This window comes from Homo sapiens, chromosome 13 (assembly GCF_000001405.40).
Source record: "Homo sapiens chromosome 13, GRCh38.p14 Primary Assembly".
In the NCBI taxonomy this organism is placed as follows: domain Eukaryota; kingdom Metazoa; phylum Chordata; class Mammalia; order Primates; family Hominidae; genus Homo; species Homo sapiens.
This window is the reverse complement of record NC_000013.11, coordinates 74,985,563-75,008,146: the sequence shown is the minus strand read 5'-3', so window position 1 is coordinate 75,008,146 and position 22,584 is coordinate 74,985,563. Positions and strand designations below refer to the sequence as shown.

The window sequence follows — 22,584 nt, the reverse complement described above, 5'->3', positions numbered from 1 at the left end:
GAACCACTGTTCAAGAACCTTGCTATTCTAGGGACTCATATACTTTTAAAATCTGAGAACTGTTACTCTGAGGAACAGTAGTAGAAAGGGCTTGTAATTTTAGTTGGGGTTAGATTATAGAAAGATTTGAACGTTTTGCTACACATTTGAAATGAATTTGGTAGGTAATGAGGCTATATTGAATGTTTTGTTTCCATCACAAATTTATTTCAGAAATACTAGACTGGTCATCTACTATTGCCTACTCAATATTCTTCTCACCTTTCTTACTACCTCAATCTTAATTGTAGGGGAATGCAAATGATAGCTAAAAACTGTATTTGCTAGTTTTCTTTGTGGGTGAGAGGGCCATGAGACTATATTCTAAACTGAAGTAACTTGAGGGTTTTCTAGGGAAGCTCCCTAAGATGAAAGCTCTTTGTCCTCGTTTTCCTTAGATCTTTCTTCTTACTTCCTAGAAATGAACATAATGGTTTGAATTCCAGAAGACATCTTTAAAGTTTAAGGAGACGAGCCCCTGTCTAAATATGGTGGAGAACAAAGTTAGAAGGAACCTGAGCCAAAGAGAAAGAAAAATAAACACCAATCTTATTTCAGCCACTATTTTTCAGAGGTTTATTACTTACAGCTGAATGCAATTCCTAACTGGTTAAGATTGTTATTGATGTGATAGATGAATTGGAGAAAAGGCAATCGTGCAGAAACTATTAAAATAGTCTGGGTAGAGCATTCGGAGAACATAAATGGAAATGAAGAGGTATTTAGAATCTGAGTTTGTTTGAAAATGTGGTAATTTTTATGTTTGTTCGTGGAAAAATGGTGATACAGTTTATAAACATTAGAAGTCAGGAAGAGGAGTGGGATTGTGATAATGCCATGAGTTTGGTTTGGGGCGCATTGAAAGTGAGGATTAATTAGACATAAGCTAGATGTGTATATCCAGCAGGAGAGAAGTTGCCTGTGAAGATACTAGGATATTGGCAGTGGAAGCCGAGCAGGAGTGAGGATTGGCAAAATAAAAGGAGAAGGAGAAAGGGATGATTGTGAGCGTATTGTTGAACTGGAGAGAGAAACCTGGAGAAGAATAAAGGGCTAAGTGTTGTTATGGGATTGCTGCTGAGCGGGTTGCACAGGAGCAATTTTACAATGGTGTTTAAATGTGGAATTCAGAGGACCTGGTGCTATTTTATGAGAAAGCCCACTTATTCCAGGAGCAGTCTCCTCTGTGGTGGCCCTATAAACCAGTGAGATCGAGTGTTTGTTCTCTCTCAGCAGTTAGGTTGACTAACAGAGGCATACTCCATCTTTTATAGACTCTTCCCAGGCTGCCTTGACTCTTCAGACATCTCCGTTAGCTAATGCTATCATAGAAATTGTTGATCCATGCTGCATATGATATGAACAAAGTTGCTGCCTTCTGGAAAATATTTTCTCCTTTCTCTGCTCAATATCTTGTGCATATGCAAAAGAATTCTGTGAAAGTTGATTTATTAAGCAGGCATAAATATAGATCATATGCTAGGGGTTTTCATGGATGCAAATATAATAAAGCTGTAATATAGGCCTGGTGGAGTTTATGCCTAGGATGAAAATCAAATAGGTGTGATAAGTGCTATGGTATGGTTTACTTCAGCATTCTCTGGTCATAGGAATTAAAGGTTTACAAATACATCTAATGAGAGGGCTCTTTGTAGCATAGTTGAAATCAGATAGTATAATGCCTCCATCTCATGTTCCTTTTGCTCATTATCCTAGGTATTCAAGTTTTTTAAGGTCCTATATGAATTTTAGGATTGTTTTTTCCGATATCTGTGAAAAATGACATTGAAATTTTGACAGGGATTGCATTAAATCTGTAGATTTCTTTGGGTAGAATGGACATGTTAACAATATTAATTCTTCCAAACCATGACTATAAAATATCATTTCATTTATTTGTGCCTTCTTCAATTTCTTTTATAAATGTTTTATAGTTTTCAGTGCACAGGTCTTTCACCTCCTTGGTTAAATTTATTTTCCCAAGTTTTTTTTTCTTTTTTTTTTTTTTTTTTTGAGATGGAGTTTCGCTCTGTTGCCCAGGCCGGACTGCAGTGGTGCTATCTCGGCTCACTGCAAGCTCCGCTTCCCGGGTTCATGCCATTCTCCTGCCTCAGCCTCCTGAGTAGCTGGGATTACAGGCGCCCACCACTGCGCAAGGCTAATTTTTTGTATTTTTAGTAGAGACTGGGTTTCACCGTGTTAGCCAGGATGGTCTCGATCTCCTGACCTCGTGATCTGCCCACCTTGGCCTCCCCAAGTATTTTTTTGTAGCTATTGTAAATGGAATTGTTCTCTTGATTTCTTTTTAGAAAGTTCATTGGTATTTTAGAAAAACACTGATTGATTTTTGTGTGTTGATTTTGTATCCTGCAACTTTACTAAATTTATCAGTTCTAACAGTCTTTTGGTGGAATCTTTAGGGTTTTCTATATATAAGCTCATGTCCTCAGTAAACAAGGACATTTAACTTATACCTTTTCTGTTGGAATGACTCTTGTTTCTGTCTCCTGCCTATTGCTCTGGCTAGGACCTGTAGCACAGTCTTGAATAGGAGTGGTGAGAGTGAGCATTGTTGTCTTGTTCCAGATCTTAGAGGAAAAGCTTTCAACTTTTCCCTGTTGAGTATGATGTTGGCTATGGATTTGTCGTATATAGCCTTTATTGTTTGAGGTACATTTATTTTATAACTAATTTGTTGAGAGAGTTTTTAATCATGAAAGTATATTATATTAGGTTGGTGCAAAAGTAATTGTTGTTTTTGTCATTTACTTTTAATATTTTGTCAAATACTTTTTCTGCATCTAATAGTATAATCATATAATTTTTGTCCTTCATTGTGTTAATATAGAATATCATGTTTATTGATTTACAAATATTGAACCATCCTTGTGTCCTAGGGGTAAATCCCACTTGATTGTGGTGAATGATCCTTTAAATGTATTGTTTAATTCTGTTCGCTAGTATTTTGTTGAGAATTTTTGCATCTATGTTCATTAGGGATATTGGTCCATAGTTTTAGTTTTTCTGTGACGTTCTTGCCTGGCTTTGGTAATGCTGGCCTGATAAAAAGAGTTTGGAATTGTTTCACTGTCTTAGATATTTTGGAATCGTTTGTGAAGAATTGGTTAAAACAGCATGGTACTGGCATAAAAATAGACACAGCAACCAATGGGACAGAATAGAAAGCTCAGAAAAGAACCCAAGTATCTACAGTCAATTGATCAAAGGGACAAAGAATATATAATGGAAAAAGGACAGTCTCTTGAATGAATGGTGTTGGGAAAACTCAATATCCATATACAAAAGAATGAAATTGGACTCTTATCTCACACTACATATATAAACATCAATTCAAAATGAGTTAAAAACTTCAACATAAGACCTGAAACTGTAAACCTACTAGGAGAAAACAAGGGAAAACCTACACAACATTGGTTTGGACAATGATTTTTTTAGCTTCAGCCACAAAAATGTAAGCAACAAAAGCAAAGCTAGACAAATGGGATTACATCAAAATAAAATACTTCTCTACATCAAAGAAAACAATTAACAGAGTGGAGAGACAGCCTACCAATTGGGAGAAAATGTTTGCAACTCATACATCCCAATTAGTGTAAGAGACTAATATCTAAACATATACGGAACTCAAACAACTCTATAGAAAGAAAACAACCTGATTAAGAAATGGGCAAGACAGTATCCTAGGTGAATTAACACCGAAATAGAAAACCAAATACTGCATGTTCTCACTTATAAGTGGGAGCTAAACATTGAGTACACACAGACAAAAATATGGGAAAAATAGACACTGGGGACTCCAAAGGGGGAGAATGAAGGGGGTAAGGGTTGAAAAACTACCTATTGGGTACTATTTTCACTACTTGGCCTATGGGACCATTAGAAGCCCAAACCTCAGTGTCATGCAATATACTCATGTAACAAACCTACAAATGTACCTCTTGGATCTAAAATAAAAGAAATAAAAAAATAAGAAATGGGAAAGGGACCTAATAGACATTTCTCAAAAGAAGACATACAAATATGAAAAAATATTAAACACTACTAATGATTAGGGAGATACAAATTAAAACCACTATGAGATATCACCTCACATGTATTAGAATGGTTATCAAAAATACAAAAGAAAACAAATGTTAGCTTGGATGTAAGAAAAGACTGTAGTGTGAATGTAAATTAGTACAATCATTATGGAAAACAATATGGAGGTTCCCGAGAAAACTAAAAATAGAATTACTGTATGGCCCAGAAATCCTACTTCTGGGTATTTACCCAAAAGGTTTGAAATCAGTATGTCAAACAGATGTCTGCACTCCCATGTTCATTGCAGCACCATTCACAATAGCCAAGATACAAAAGTAACCTAAGTATCCATAAAGGGATGAATGAATAAAGAAAATGTAGATATACACAATGAAATACTATTCCATCTTTAAAAATGATGGAATTCTGTCATGTGTGACAACATGGATGGAATTGGCAAACATCATACGAAGTGAAAAAAGCCAAACACACAATGACAGACACCTCGTGTTCTCATTTATATGTGGAATCTGAAACAGTGGAATTCACAAAAACAGAGAGTAGAAAGGTTATTACCAGAGGCTGGGGGTGGGGAGAATGGGGGCATGATGGCCAAAGTGTACAAAGCCTCAGGTTCAAAATAAGTTTGATTTTTACAGTTTTCCTTTTTTGAGATTAATACACAGCATGGTGAATATAATTAACAATTGAGCACTGTACATTTAAATTTCACTAAAAGAATAATTTCAATGTTGGTATAAAAATGTAAAATATTTGAGGTGGGGAATATGTTCATTAGCTTGATTTAACCATTGAAGATTGTAATAAAAAATCATAACATATGTACCTCATACCTATATACACCTATAATTTGTCATTTTAACACAAAGCTAGGACTCCTCTTTCATTTGTCCAGAATGTGTGGGCTCTGGGGGTCTGTGTGTTTCCACCCTTTTGGGAAATGCTGCCTCAGTCTTCCCTTCTCCTTTGTCCATACAATTTCATTCTCTTTTAGCATTTCCTTCCTCTACATGTAAACAGTCTCCAGTATCATCTGTTTTTCTCTTTTCAAAAAAGATGCCCATTATAGCCACTGTTTCTTCCTTTGTTGTATTCACAGTTGCCTATCTGCAATTATGAAATCTCAATGCTCTGAAAACCAGAATTTTTTTTTTCAATAACTGATTTGGCAGCAAAACCTGCCCTAAATTGGTATGAGGTGCTATAGAGTGTTTATTCATCCCTAGAACATTCATTTTATTTTTATTAAAGAAATGTTAATATCTTTGGTTAAGGAGCCCTGCTTTATACCTTATATGAGAAATAGTATTAATACATTTAAAATTTTAAAAATTCTTAATTCGAAAACATATCTGGTCCCAAGAGTTTTGAGTGAGGGAACATGGCTCTGTCTGTTCTTGAAGCTCTATACAATGCAAAGAGGAGGAGGAAAGGAGGTTATAATAATTGGGAAAGTGGAGACAGCATGATTATCATTTGCAAAAGATGCCATATGCTAACTGAAAGAGCCATGAGAATCAACTGAAAAGCAAGTAGACATAAATAAGATACCTGAACCCAAAGTAAACATGCACATCAAAAATCCAGCCTACACTACCTTCTGGGACTAATCTCATAGTTAGAAGAATTTGAGGAGCCCCAATTAGCTCATTAGTTTAAGTGACTAAGATCAAATGGAGATTATGGACAATTTTGGCTTGATTTTGTACTCCAAAATGAGGATCTGGGTTCCTGCCTGTACTTGGGGCCAACTTCCCACTTCGCCTTCCAGTTTTTCCCGACTCCCAGGGACTGCAGATCTTACCCTGAACAGCAGCTCTACGACTGGGGAACCACAGCCTGCTTGGCAAACTTTTTAGTTCAACCTTCCTGTCTAATCCCTTTTCAAGGTTCTCTGACTTGCTGGGACCCAGGCTTCCACCTGGATGGATTCTGCTCCCTGGTTGTCTCTGCTCTTTTGCTTCCAGTACTTCTTGCCTGCTTGTCTCTAGAATGCTGTCCCTTGTGTCATTACAGCTGCCAACTTTGGTCTTTTTTAGAGATGACATTCAGACAGCTTTGTTGAGATTTTACCTACAGAGTGATTGTGCAGCATGTCATATAAACAACCTCAAAAATCACAGAAACAGAATGGCACAGCTGTGCCTATATGCCCAGAAAAGCCATCGAGTTTTGGTGACATTTTAAATCAGAACAGTGACTAATGATGCAAGTGGGATGTAAACTCTGAATCATACAAAATCATTAATTGTCTCTGCACCAGGCAGAGCTGAAGCAATGGGATCTATTTTGTATGGCACATGTTTGGGCTTCGCAGACAAGCAGGGTCACAAAAGGAATCTTTTCAGAGAGGCCAAATTCTATATTCTGAAATAGTCTTCCTTTCCTCCTTCTCTCTCCCCTCCCTCCATCCCTTTCTTCCTTCTCTTCTTCCATTTCTTACTCATGTATCAGTTTTTTCACCTGAAAGTGAGATAATAACAGTATCTTCCTTATAGGGTTATTGCCTGGATTAAATAAGTTGACATCACTTTGTATATGTATAAAGTGCTTTGAGTGCCTGGCCCAAAGTAAGCATTTTTTAGGTGTCTACAATTATTATTGATACTGACTCTATGTCTGGCCCTGTTATAGGATCTAGGGATACAAACATTAAAAACACAGGTCCCTTGGGAGGCCGAGGTGGGCGGATCACGAGGTCAAGAGATCAAGACCATCCTGGCCAACATGGTGAAACACTGTCTCTACTAAAAATACAAAAATTAGCTGGGCGTGGTGGTGAGCACCTATAGTCCTAGCTACTTGGGAAGCTAAGGCAGGAGAATCGCTTGAACCTGGGAGGCGGAGGTGGCAGTGAGCCGAGATCACACCACTGCACTCCAGCCTGGCAACAGAGCGTGACTCCATCTCAAAACAAAACAAAACAAAAACAAAACAGGTCTTGCACTTAAGTATCACCAATATACAGGTATTTGCAGGATGTGCTGTTCTGAAGCACTGACTTTGGCATGAGGGGTTGGATTTGAAAGCCAGCTCCATCTCATCTCTCATTAGCTATGTCACCTTGGGGAAGTTACTTAATCTTTCTAAATCTTAGTTTCCTCCAATGAGGATAATAATAATAATTCATGTTTTATAGGTTTTTTTTTTTGAGAAATACAGGACATAAGGCAAATAAAGTACTTAGAATATTCAGCTAGGTAATAAATACTGAATTCCTTTTTCCGGAGGTGCTACTGATTGTGGGTCATAAGATGGTCCTGGACAGGACTTTACATTAGAATCCTTATCCTTACAGATGGATAAGAAGAACATGGGGTTCATTGTGCTCCTCTGGATCTGGTACTGGGGAATTTGTCAAGTTGAATACTTTATCCTCAACATGTTGGCTCTGCCAAGACAGCTGAGGGTCTATATGAAAGAGACAGGGATTCTGGAATAAGAAGACTTGGGTACTTTACCTCTCAAATTCTGTTTTTCCATCTGTAACATGGGTATAATTATGGTCTCTAACTCACACTTATAGTGAAGGTCAGTTGAGATAATCTAGGTCAGGAATTGAGCACAACAAACATGCGTGACATATAGTTAGTGTTCTATTAAACTGACAGCTATTATTATTGTTTTTGCTATTTTTGATTCATAGTTAATTTTCTGCTTGGAAAAGAGCTTGCATAGATGGGACTCTAGTTTTTTTTTTTTTTTTTTTGGAAGATTATCTTAGTTTTTAAAAACAATTGTTTTCTTATTTCAAGAGCAATATATGTTCATCACTGGAAGAAATCTCAGAATATTCTGTTTTGTATTTTCTAATCCTCCATCCCCGAGCAGAGTGGGAGTCATACTGGGTGAGATGGTGCAGGCTGGCTAGACTCCCTTGCCTAGCATATCATTTTTGGTTGACATAAAATTTCATAAGGAATGATCACCAAGAATCACTTAATTGTTACCCCGTTATTGGTTGTCCCCAAAGCAAGCACAGGCTGGGATTACTAAGTTTATTTTTTCTCTCTGGAGAATGTATTTTTTTAAGTTTTAGGGTGAAATTCAGATTCAGTGAGGTAATAAAATAATCATTGAAAATAGATTGATACTGTCTGCCATTGTCTTTATTTCTATAATAGCATGATTTCACACTAAGCAATGGGTGATGCTGCCAATAACTATCATCAATTAAACACCAGACACTTTCTGTGCATTGTCTTATTCATTCCAAATGACAACCCTGTGAAGTAGGTATTCAGTTCCTCTGTTAGCCATGAAAAATCTAGACCTGGATTAAATAACTTGCTCAAGATCAAAGAGTTAGGATTTAAACCAAACTCAATGTGCCTTCAGGCTTTTTAAAACTACTGTGCCCCCAAAGTTAGAGTGGCTTTAAACAAATAAATAAAGAATTAAAAAGCTTTAAACAACAATCTTTACTGAAGCAAAAAACTTCATAAATATTTCTTGGAACACAAAAGAATAAAAACAAAAAATGCAACATTAAACTACAGCTTAAGCATACTTCTCCCAACCTCCCAGCCTCATCCCAACCTACACACTGAGTCCTGATATTTAAAAATCTAATACAGCCAGCCAGTGGGGTTCATAAAACTGTGACCTTATATTTAAATTGTCAGGTGGAAGAAGTTTATAATAAACAAACAGGCAAGAGCAACCAAAAAATGCATACAAAGAGCTTTGGAAACATCTGAATACAAATCATTTTCTAAATGTAAATTGCTCTTATCATTGATTGTATAAGAAACACAACCTTAGACCTTCCCTGCATTGCAATAATAATGAAGGAAAGCCCTTATGCTCAAAATGATTAAAACATTTAACACACAAAATGAACACTAGGGAGAAAGTCTTGTCTTCATTATAGTCAGCGTTATGCCACACAATAAATATAATCTCCCTTAGGTTTTACCAAACATCCAAGCTCTTTAATTTACATTATTTTATTCATTTGAATTCACTTCGGATTTATGAAAGGAAAAAAATACATCTCACAGTAAATGAGAAGGTGTAGTTAACAAGATACCTTAATGAATCTTAATAAAATCCATGTGGGAGTGAAGCGAACATCAACTTACCCTGAAGTCACATCGGTTGGTGGCCAAATATTTTTATGGGGTGTGAGCAAGTGTATTCATCATTAGAAGATAATAATTAAAATTACTGCTTATATATGCCCTTCAGCTTAAGTTATGATCATGCACTATCTCCCAATTTTTGCTTCACATTCAAAGCATTTTATAAAAGGGAGAATAAGCTAGAAAGTAAACGATAGTATTTTCTCTGATGCTTTGCATACAAGCACTCAATGAAGGTAGATGACTGGCTGAAGAGAAGTGAACACTTTTCTTGTTTTTAATCACATTATGCCTTAGATGCTGTGAATATCTTGGCATCTACTTATTTAGCATTTATAGTTTCAACATTCTCAAGTGATACAATGACCATGATATATAGATTTGTTACATTTTGCTGAAAATTATATCCTTTTAATAAAAGTAAAGCGGCCGGCCACGGTGGCTCACGCCTGTAATCCCAACACTTTGGGAGACCGAGGTGGGTGAATCACCTGAGGTTGGGAGTTCGAGACCAGCCTGACCAACATGGAGAAACCCGTTTCTACTAAAAATACAAAATTAGCCAGGTGTAGGGGGGCATGCCTGTAATCCCAGCTACTCAGGAGGCTGAGGCAGGAGAATCATTTGAATCTGGGAGTTGGAGGTTGCGGTGAGCCGAGATCATGCCATTGCACTCCAGCCTGGGCAACGATAGTGAAACTCTGTCTCAAAAAAAAAAAAAGCATCATTATTTTAGCAAATGTAGCAAAAGGAAGAAAAATTTTGCAGTTCTATCATCAAGAATAATGTGTTCACCAGTGATTTTATATGTTGTCAAAAGACAAAATTACAACAAATTTAGTTTTAAATCTAATTGGCTTCTATTTGTGATTCATGAATTGGAGCAAGCTTCATTCTACAAAACTGAATGAGAGATATGACTGGGCAATGGAGAGCCGTGGGTTTTGTAAGGTGGGTTTTGTAAGGTGGAAGCAAGGAAACAGAGCAATAGAAAAAAAGCAAATTGGTTAATGTTAGGTTACTTCAGTTGCTTTTTTTTTTTTTGAGGGAGGATGTTAAAGCAGAGAGGACTTTCTTATTACACTGACCCAGGTAGACTGGAATCTCCTGTTTATCCGGAAAACCTGTGCTGTTTGGGAATCTATCTCCTTTCTTAAAGTTTCAGTTTGATTATGTGGCATTTAGCATGAGTGTTCCATTTTGGTTTGGTCTGATCTGTAGGGGCCTAGTGTAGGAGCTGTGTCCAAAACAATGGCCTCCCATACTTTTGTTTAACAGTGTGTATTTATATAAAAGGATATAAAAAATTAAAATTTACTAAACAGATGCCTTTTTCTTGTATTTCTTGTATTTTTTTTAATCTCCAGGTCAGGAGTTCTGTCTTCATCATCATTGAGAATCTAGGACCCAGCACAGCACAGTGTCTAGAACATACTAAACACAGTGTCTAGAACATAACATACTTCCTGAATAACTATGTTAAGATCTTTCTGTATCATTGCATATTCCACCACATCTTTTTGATGACTTCATAGTTTTCCATCCCATGGATGTATTGTGATTTATTTAGCTAAATTCCTGTTTTTTGCTTAGTAAAGAGGTTACTGATTTTTCACTATTTTAAGTGGGAGTAAACATTCACATAGTGAAATCTTTTCTTAGAAGTCCACTTTGACATCTTTGGAATTGTTGGTGTGAAGAGTAAGTAAAAATATATCATTTTTGATACCTGTTATCAACAAAGTCACCAAATGTATTTAAATATTTTACTTTGGCATCTATAAATATATGAAAATGACTATTTTCCACTTTTCCTAACTGGCAGGTCTTTGACTCTAAGTATGTGGAAAAATCTAAGTAGCGAGTAAGGCTAATTGACCAGCATTTACTCCTTAATGAGGTTTTATTTTTCTCAAGTGTACATTTTATGAAATGAATCATATCCTCAAATTTGTAAATTGTAAACGCTATTGAAATGATCCTCTTTTGAATGTCAATTTTCAGTGGATACCACTAGTGCCGTTAGATACTAGTGTCATTTAAAGACCACTCTTCAGTTAGTGAAAGCCCAACTCCTTTGTCAGTCCAGGTGAATAAAATTTCAGTAGATGAAGTCATTTCATTGGATTGTGAAGATCAGTAACTCATCCCAAATCTCATTTTAGAGAGTAAATACAGCTGGAGGAATAATATATGTCCTAGAGGTGTCAGGTTAGAAAGGATTTAACACCACACGATAAACCATAAATAACAGCATTTTGAAGAACTACGGCACATTCATTAATGTCAAAGAAGGAATCTGGAAATAGCCATCAACCAACCATCGTGGTGATAGGACAATTTCAGAATCCTTCATTGGCAGAGAAAGAGAAAATTCATGATCAAAAAATGGAAATGAAGAGATTTTTCCAATTATCTTTTGACACTAAGCGAGGATGTAATTTACTCTTTCTCGAATATGACCCTTTAAATGTGTGAAATAAGATTGTTCCTTGTATAGTCCAAGTGTTTCAAAAAGTCCATGAACTCTTTGAAAGTAATTCACTTAAGCTTTCAAGTTGTATATAAAATGGTACTAAACAATTTAATTTTAAGAAGCATGAAAAAGGCAAAGCCACAAAAAATTAATAAAAAGCCTTATGGTAGTGAATTTAAACAGTGACAGAAAAAGAATCTTATGGAACTCAGAAGACCAACCATGATATGTGCTCAGAAGCAGTAAAAATAAAGTCTGAGTATAAAGACCATCATGGATGGTCACAAACTCCTGAAAGTGATGTTCAATTATGACAGTTTCCCTAAGGGGGGAATAAACATGACTTTTCAAAATTCTAGATGAAGCAACTTACCATAGAATTATTGATACATAGATATGAACATAAAACAATTCCCTTTTGTGGTGCGTCTCTCAGAGAACAGAGGAAAAGAATAGCAAATGGGGGTTTGTGTGTTTTAACTCAATTGTTATGAAATAGACCTATAGACATAATTCTATGGATTAGAATCTTCATGTATGGTGGTAATTAGAATTTGAGAACAGAATGTGGATTATCTTGCAAGTTTTTAAGGAGCCAGAATATTGCTTTTTCTAGAAAGTTACCTAGATTCCTTTTGTTCTGCCCACCTCCCCTTTATTCTGATTTTATTCACTTTGGAGAATTGGTATATTTATACTTTTTTTTTTCTATCATGTCTGTGAGAAAATTCTACAAATTGTGTTTTCCAGGGAGAAGTTTGAAAAGGGATTCCATTTCTCACAAACATAAAGACAGCTCAAAGGTCTAATGATTCCATGTTTTATTTATTTATTCATTAATTCAACAGATATTTACGGAGAGCCATGTGCTATATTGTGCACAAATGATGCAGGCTTTATATTCATGGAGTTCTCATTTTATTTGGAAAGCAAAAAGTGAATAAATGAATGCACATAAGACAAAACAAACATAAATATTTATAAATTGTGATAAGTGTTATGAAGAATAAGAACAATAGCCTGAGATTGAGAAGACAATTCTACTATTTATAGGGTGATAGATAACAGTCTACTTTTTATAGGGTGGCAGGGCAGTCTTCCCCCAGGAAGTGAAATTGAAGGTGAGAGCCAAAGGATGAGCAGCAACTAGTCATCCAAACAATGCCATATGTAGGGGAAAAAGGAGTTTGTACAAAAAGCCATGAGTCAAGCAAGAGCCTGTTGTGTTGGGAACCCTCAAAGAAAACCAGTGTGGATGGGATGATGAGTGGGGAGGAAAAAGGGCTTGAGGGAAGCTGGTGAGGCAGTCAAGGCCAGAACATGCAGGATCTGTGAACCACGAGAAAGAAGTTTGAGTTCTACCTGAAGTATAATCCCTTAAAAGATTTAATCAGAACTGTAACATGAGCTTGACAAAATTTGATTTATGTTTTAAGAAGATGACTCTGGCTACTAAATATGGAATATAGTGAAAAAGCAGAAGAGTAGAAGCATACACATTGTCAAGAGTTGTCGAAATTTTGGCTAGAAGATGATGGTGTTAACAGAGTAGAAGGCAAGAAATTGATTATTTGAGATATAAATTGATGACAGGATCAAAGGTGTGGGTAGTGCATTGTATATAGGAGCGAGGGAGAATGCAGCATTTCTAAGACTTTGGCTTATGCATCAGGATCAACGGTGGCACCATCTTACTGAAATGTAGATGATTGTAAGGACAGATTGCAATTTATGGATTAGATGATAGAACAAGGTTTTTCTAAATTTCTCTGGTGATGGGTCACTTGGGGTACTTGTTAAAAATACCTGGACCCCATTCCAGGCACTCTGAGTCAGGGTCTGTCACTGAGTGGTCTAAGAAGCCCTAGTTTGAAGAAGCATCAGAGAAGACTTTTTATCACCAGTGAAGTTGGGAAAACATTGTATTAGAGAATGGAACCTCCATGGAAGAGGGTTCCTGTGTGACATTGTGCAGAACCAGAGGATGGGGAGAGAAGAGGCTTGATTTCAAGGAAGAGGAGATTAAAGGCCATCGGACTTCCATTGATTAAGAAAAGGACCCTAATAGGCCAGGCGTGGTGGCTCACACCTGTAATCCCAGCACTTTGGGAGACAGAGGCAGGCAGATCACGAGGTCGGGAGTTTGAGACCAGCCTGGCCAATATGGTGAAACCCTGTCTCTAGTAAAAATACAAAAATTAGCTGGGAGTGGTGGCATGCACCTGTAGTCCCAGCTACTCAGGAGGCTGAGGCAGAAGAATTGCTTGAACCTGGGAGGCAGAGGTTGCAGTGAGCCGAGATTGCACCGTTGCACTCCAGCATGGGTGACAGAGCAAGACTCTGTCTCAAAAAAAAAAAAAAAAAAGAAAAAAAAAGAAAAGGACCCTAATCAAAGTACTTAGCATAGTATCTGGCACAGCATGTTGATTAGTGTCAGTGTAGGATAGTTAAAATATTGTATGCTATATTCAGATGTGCAAAAAAAATACCATCTTTATTTTTCATAACTGGTCTAGTGTTCCTTATGGAGGTAGTAATGGAGTAAGGGAGAAAAAGTATTGGTCAAATCCAATACATCGAATCTGATTTGTTTACTTAAATAATGTTGTTAAATATTTGTCTTTCTGTCACTTGTTAAATAAAACCTCATTTTAAAAGGATTTTCTCCTCCCTTTGCATTTTTCCAAGGTAACATCTTACTGGGAGAGAATGGCTTGTAAGACTTCAGGTAGCAGGCAAAGGAGCTATTATTTTGTAATGTCCTCTGAATTCTCTGGCCTGTGAAGAGATGATCTTTTTCTGGTGTTCACATCTGTGACTGGTGAACTCATTTGTTGCTCTTTAGGCATCAAACCTGAGGCTTCACCACCACTAACTAAGCCCATGTCAGCTCTGAGGCCTGGCTTTGATGCCTCCCATCAGCCTGGGGTTACAGGGTCTTCTTGCCCAGAGAACATCTGGAAAGCTAGTCCTATAAACTCCTTTCCACATTGTTCAAGAGATATGTAGGATGTTTTGCATCTCTTTCTGGATACTTGAGCACCAGTGAAGGCTCTAAGATCCTCCCTTGCCCACCCTTGCCACTTCACCTATGGTCCTCTGCTACAGCCACCCTGGTTGATGTCAATCCATAATGCAGTCTCCTTTCAGAGCCCTGTAAAGTAGAGCAAAAGCTCCTCCTATTTCTGTTTTGTCCCTTAGCCTATCCCATATGCTCTCTCCTTTCACTCAGTCCTTAGCCCAGAGGGAAAGTCAAAACACACACATCTTTTCACCTGTGCCTCCTTCTGACTTTTCTCCTCCCCTCTATGCTTCTCTGGGGGTCAGAAGTATGGACTTTCTTCTTCAGCTGACTTTCTTCAAGAGTTTTTCCACATTATGTCTTCTTTTCTCCAGATGCGGCATCTACTTTTCTGACTGTTCCCTTCTCCAGGGTAATAGTGAAGAATGGCCAGTAAGGAATGGGATTTATGGCAAAGTAACAAAAACCATATTGTTTTACAATTTGTAATACAGTATTTGAAAACATTGTGAATTTTCTTTGTTGCTTTGGTTTATCCCTGATTTAAATTCCAATGATGTTAGTACAAAATCTCTCGAAATGTATACTTAGTTTCCTGGATCACATAAATGTAGAGTACTAGGGGTGGCTTTCCATTCTATACCTAGTTTTGGTTGGACAGAAACTTAAGAAATACAGTAGTTGTACCAGCTGTAAGGAAAAGAAAAGCAAGGTGACTCTTGTGAAGAAGTGAGAGGGAAGAAATAGGAGCCAGATTAGAAAGAAGTCATGTGAGAGCCTTGGGAAGCAGGGTGCAGGCTCAATTTATGTTTAGATACATACAGTGTTAGGCCTGGAAGAGATGCTAGCAATAGATGAATGCCTTCTTTTGCAGATATGTAAATCAGTGCTCAGTAGTGCGAAGTGATCTGTATGGATTTTAGAGCTAGTGAGAGACAGGCTTGAGACTTAGTCACATCCTTGGAGCAACTGCTTCCTAATCCTGAGCTCCCCATCCTCTGGTTCTGCACTATGTCACACATTATTTTCCAAATATCCCAGCAAGCATCAGAAATTACAACTTTAATACTACCTTCAAGTAACCAAAAAGACTAAGATTTGTGAATAAATTGTAATTCCTAATTGATCATCTTTAATCACAGCTCCATCCTAAGGATTGCCTTCGAATAGAAATTCAATTTATTGTATTAATTTAAATCATTGTATTAGTGACATTAGCTGCTACAGGTAACATTAGCTGCTCTAGGCAACATTAGATGCTAAGGTAACATTAGCTGCTATAACAAAAAATTTCCAGAACAACCAATACAGGTGTTAGATGGGTTCCTTCTGTCTTGTACCTCTGCCATCCTGCAGTGGAGAAGTTCCCAAACTTTCTCAGTTCACAGAATGCTTGTTGTCCCCTAGTACTTTTTTTCACAGTGCTCCTAAGCCAAAAGAAATAGCTAACAGCACTGTTGATCAGGTAGTTTGGCTCCCAAACTTAATAAAGATATATGTTCTAACAACTGAGTAGCTTCTTCAGAAAAAAATCATACACATAAATGGAAAGAGAATTTTTTTTGTTATTAATACAATTGTTCAATTATTAAATATATTCTACAGTTGTATTAATTGGAGTGTGTATGCCCATTGAGTACTGCACAACCTCTCAAACCTTGAGATTCTTGAGTTTCTTTAAATGGATTGAGAACCTAAATATGGAATGCAAGGCTGAGTGCATAATGTTTTCAGATTTTAAACACTATTTTACACTTGTGTTGCCACATCTAAATAAAGAGCAATTTTAGAGACTCACTTTTACTAATTCCCTCAGAGCATTCAACTTAGTCATAGTAACAATTATTTTCCTTACATGCTCATATTATTTGTTTACATACTATTTAATTCAATAACATAATTACAATTATGTATAAGACCTGCATAATTAAGTTTGGGAACAAACACAAGTAAGTGTAAACCCACTAGATGAGTAGAAGTCATCAGGAGTGTCGTAGCTTACAAGGGGCAATCATTTAGCAGCTGCAGACATCACTGTGTTTGACAACACAAAAGGTTAATCCACTGAGCTAGGTAAGTAGAGGACTCAGGGCTGCTAGACCTATGCAGATGAAAGAATCAAGGGTACCTAAGGCTTTCTTCTTGTCTGACCAGTGCTGAACTGGTCAGAAAAGCAAAACACAATTGTGTTGCTTCCAGAGACCCAATGTCTTCCGGGTCCTTTATTGATAGGTAAGGAAATGGAGACTCAGATAAATTGTCTTGGCTACAGCCAGTTTGAAATCAGGTTCCTGCTTTTTTTTTTTTTTTTTTTTTTTTTTTTTTTTTTAGACAAAGTCCCACTCTATCACCCAGGCTGGAGTGCAGTGGCGCCATCTGGGATCACTTCAACCTCTGCCTCCTGAGTGATTCTCCTGCCTCAGCCCCCTGAGTAGCTGGGACTACAGGTGTGCACCACCACACCTGGCTAGTTTTTGTATTTTTAGTGGAGATGGGGGGGTTCCGCCATGTTGGCCAGGCTGGTCTCGAACTCCTGACCTCAGGTGAGCCGACCAACTTGGCCTCCCAAAGTTCTGGGATTACAGGCATGAGCCACCTCCCCCGACCTGACATTTAGATCAATATTCTTTCTGTTACAGTAAACCACAGACCCAGACTAGAGAGATCAATTAGGAATTATTTATTCACAAATCTCAGTCTTTTTGGTTACTCAAAAGTAGTATTAAAATTGTGATGTCTGATGCTCACTGGGATGATTGGAAAATAATGTGTTCTGGTACTTCTTTAGTATTCAGAACTATGAACCACCTTACCTGGCACTCCAATTAAGCTAAAATTAACTAACTGTGAGGTAATGAGGATATAGATAAACTAGTCCACATATGTAATTATGAAAACAGCTCTTACTATTAAATAGCAAGCATTTTGTTTTGAGCCACATTATCATGGTTTAATTAATGCCTGTTCTATGCAAGCCTTCTCTAGAGATTACAGAAGAAAATAATCAAACTGTTCTTTTCATTTTTTTTCAAAAAGAAGTGATAGAAAACAGTTTCTTCCTTCGTCTTAGTGGAATCGACAAGAATGGAATTTCTAAAAAGATTTTTTTTCAGCCTACATATTAACTGCCTACATATTAACTATAAAAATTCCAATCTGGAACAACTGCTCCTTTATTTTAAAAACGTCAAGTCAGTAGCCCCCTTGGTTTAAAAATACAAGCACTGTGATTTCTTTTTAGATCTTTATTATATAAAATGTGAGTTTTTGAATTAATTTTTTTGCACAAAACCTTACACAAAATTTCGTTGCACAAAATTAAATTATATTTTTCTTCTTATTTCCTGAGTTGTATGTATATACATACTTATGTTCAATTACATACACACATGCACACACACACGTGTGTCTCTGTGTATAATACATATGTATATATATGTGTGTATGTTCAATGTAATATTTGTGGGAATAATACATATATATGTGTGTGTTCAATTACACACACATAGACATACATATACACGTGTATATATAATACATGTGTGTATATGAGTGTGTGTAATTGAACATATGCATATACACATATGTATTATACACACACGAATATTAAAACTTAGACACAACAAACCTCTGTTTTAGGGAAGTGAATTTTATATCATTTGAAAATAAATTGTAGGCAGATTATTCAGGATAAATCAACTAAAGACATGTTTTAGTTAATGTATGTGTAGGTAATATTCAGTAAAGCATACCACTTAATTCAATGGACCAAACGTTCTGGGCTTTTAGACAGTTTTTAATTTTTGGCTATTACAAATCGTGCTGCTATGAATGCACTTGAACATATCTTTTGGTACACGTATCTACACATTTCTCTTGGTTTTATACTTAGGCATAGATTTGCTAAGTCATAGGCCTTTTACATGTTTACTTTTAGTAGCTACTGCCAAATGGTTTTCCATAGGTGTTATACCAATTTACACTCTACCAGCAGTGAGTTACTGCTGTGTACCCTCACCCACTTAGTCTTCTTTATGTTAGCTACTCTGGTGTGTGTATATTATTTCATCACAGTCTTCATTTGCATTTCCATGATGACTAATGAATGAATGCTTTTATATATGCTTATTAAACATTTGGATATTCTGTTTTGTGAAGTACTCATTCAAATCTTTCATCCATTCTTCTATTTTCTTGTGTATCTTTGTCCTATTGATTTGTAGAAGCTCCTTATATATTCTCCATATGACTTGCTTGATTTATAGAAGCTCTTTTTATATTCTCCATATGAGTTCTTTGTTAGATATGTTTATTGCAAATATTTTCTTCCTGTCCGTGGATAGGCCATTCTTTTTGTATCAACCCTGATGCTGTTAGATTATTCTATGGTCAATCAATTATAAAAGAAAGGAAAGAACACTGGCTTTCATAACAGTAGCCTTGAGGTAAATGCCTGAACCATTACTGTGTGATTTTGGGCAAGTCTTCTAACCTTGAAGAATCTCTTTGCTCACCTTGTAACGTTAATAATACCACTTATAATATGTTGTGAAGATTAAATGAGCTATTTTATGTGACAGAGCCTGGCAGAGTGCCTGGCACATATTAGATCTAGATGCTTAATAAATTTTACAGGATGGAAGGGAATAAAATACTCTTGGTTAATTTCATCTTGGGTATCTGATACTGGCCACAAACTTTTAAAGATTTTCAGTGGCAAGTTTGGTGTTATGGCAGAGCCTCCCTGAGGCCTGCCTTATGTGCATTATGTCTTCATTATCCCTTCTTGTAAACTCAAGGGAGTAAAAAACCCTGAAACCACCAGCCCCTGCTCTGGTTTTCTGAGATGGGGGCTCAGAATATTTGCTTTTTTTCTGTGAAAGTGAAACACACTAGATAATTAGATTTTTAGGAGAGTAAAACACACTGAAAGTAAGAAGATTAAAAAAAATAACAAGGAATACATATTTCTAAGAGAAACAATTTAAGTGTGTCCAATTGTAACTAACTATCTCCCAAATCTTTTTCTTAATGAAAGCTTTCCTTGGGTTCTGATGGATACATTACAGGTTACATATACACCTATATTTCTGCATTTTATGTATATACTTATATGTGTATATATACATATATATACACATTAGGTATATATGTATATATACATATATACACATTAGGTATATATGTATATATACATATATACACATTAGGTATATATGTATATATACATATATACACATTAGGTATATATGTATGTATACATATATATACACATTAGGTATATATGTATATATACATATATACACATTAGGTATATATGTATATATACATATATATACACATTAGGTATATATGTATATATACATATATATACACATTAGGTATATATGTATATATACATATATATACACATTAGGTATATATGTATATATACATATATATACACATTAGGTATATATGTATATATACATATATACACATTAGGTATATATGTATATATACATATATACACATTAGGTATATATGTATATATACATATATATACACATTAGGTATATATGTATATATACATATATATACACATTAGGTATATATGTATATATACATATATATACACATTAGGTATATATGTATATATACATATATATACACATTAGGTATATATGTATATATACATATATATACACATTAGGTATATATGTATATATACATATATATACACATTAGGTATATATGTATATATACATATATACACATTAGGTATATATGTATATATACACATATAAGTATGTATATAAAATGCATAAATATATATATACATTTATATTATACATATATACATTATATATACATATATACATGTTCTGCTCAAATGTTAATGACTTTTATTTCAGTTATAAAACAAATGAAATTGTGACCTGCTTGGTGAGACATGACTAATCCAGGAGCAGCCAGATGGCAGTGCCAGTCAGTTCTCTTGAGTGATGTGACATCATGATCTCATCCAAACACCTGGGTACAGACTTGTAAAACAATAGGGAAAAACAGCACTTCTGGATTTGACAGTTTTCTAAATCAGATTAACAAATAGAAGCTTAGTATTAATTTATGCCATTTAAAAATCTACCACTCAGCATTTCTATAGTAGCCACTGACATTATTCATTTCTACCAGAGGTAAGGCAGAGGACCCCCACTTGAGTGGTGGCAAACAGAAAAAGTAGAATTGAACAAAATTCAAATTATTGTTGTAATCATCAGATGATTGTAAATCATCAGAGGAGCTACAGTAATTACTCTCCATATTCTAAAAAGGTAGATTTACTCAGGTGAAAAGATAGAGAATTCTGCCCTTTGCTTTTCCGTACATGTCAACTACGACTGAATATGCGGAGGGATTATTGGAGTTGATATTTCTCTCAAGCTATAAAATGATTTTACAAATCCCCCACTTCCATTCCATTTATAGATCTTTGCTTCCCCCCTCCCTCCCTGAGGAATGCATTTAAGTTAAATGGGAAAGTGCTGGGAATAGAACACTTAATTTTACAATCTGTTACTATATAATTAAACTAGTTCCAAGGGGCCTATTGACTTCCAAGGTTTAATGGGTTAGTGTGGTTCATGAAAACTCCAGGGGGACGCCTGTAAAACCTGATTTGGGACCACATCCTGGTTTTTAACAATGTTGTCCTTTGAGGAATTGTCACTGAATACGTCCTATATTTTCAGTGTTCTGCAGTGCAACAAGTACTTTCTGTTGACCAGCAACCAGGCATACTGTTCACAGCCAGTTATTAGAGGTGACTTGTTAGTCAGCCCTGGAAATCCTATAGCAGAATCCTGTCCCCAACCCTGTCTGCTCCAAGGTTTTGTTGAACATCACTCATGTGCAAGCTTTCTTATGTTTATACTTGATGATATCCTGAATTCTCAAATTTGGATAATACTTACTGGTTTAAAACTGAAAATAATAAAACTTTTTAGGTACTTTAAAATGAAAATTTCTGCACTTTAAATAAATTGGGCAGAATCAAGGGGTTTAGATAGATGTGTAAAGTGTCCAGGACAGATTTTGATAATTATATAATCTGTTTTGAGAATTCTTTAAAGGGGTTGCTTTGTAGGGCAAAAGCCCAGGGAAGTTGCTCTAAGTAGATCTGGAGGTCTTGAGAGATGCAAACAAACATTGAGACTAATACACTGGGTTCTTTCAGGGAGCAGAATCTTTGGCCTGGAAGTTGAGAGGAAGAAGAAAAGACAGGTTTTGTGAGTTTCATTGTCAGGCATGAAAGCTGTGGGTGGAAATTCAATGGAGATCTTATTAATCATCTCAGCAATCAATCTGTGGACCATGAATTAGTAAGATACTGTAATGTTTGTAATTTATTTTGGTTATGTTTGTCATCTTATGTATTTCCTATGATGATCAGCAGTGAAATCATTGGAATGTAAAGGTCTGGATATGTTAGTTTTGAGGAGGAGTGATAAAAAGAGTTATTTGTTTATTTTTTTTCAGAGCCACTCTTGATGATAGAATTGGTGATGTGACAGCCACCAAAGGAATGTGACACAAAGTAGAAATGAGACCTGAGATGTGGCCTGGACCTTTACCATGGAAATGCCCATAAATTGCGTCCCTATTCCTTAAGATTTTATTTAAAGTTATTTTCAGAATGTTGTGAAGTTTCCAATCATACCAAAATCTTCAAAAAAAAAAAAAAAAAAAAAAACCCACAGAATTTACATTTTAAAAGCACCATTGTTGTCATGATAATGGTGGCAAGTAATTTTCAAATTTGGGTTATTTTAGAAACAGAATAAAAGAAGACAACTATAATATAATCCCAATAAACAAAAGCAAATAAAAAGGCTAAATCATGGGACTATCAGTATATAGAT

General features: G+C 35.9%; 1 long non-coding RNA gene across 2 annotated transcripts in view; it reads left to right on the top strand.

Moving 5' to 3' along the window:
* LOC107984620 (uncharacterized) overlaps positions 1 to 22,348 on the top strand; it is a 41,289-nt gene extending 18,941 nt beyond the window's left edge. For both annotated transcript variants that reach the window (XR_001749918.1, XR_001749917.1), the window contains one exon: positions 22,202 to 22,348. This is a non-coding gene — a long non-coding RNA (uncharacterized LOC107984620). The remainder of the gene's footprint in view (positions 1 to 22,201) is intronic.
* The last annotated feature ends 236 nt before the right edge of the window (positions 22,349 to 22,584 follow it).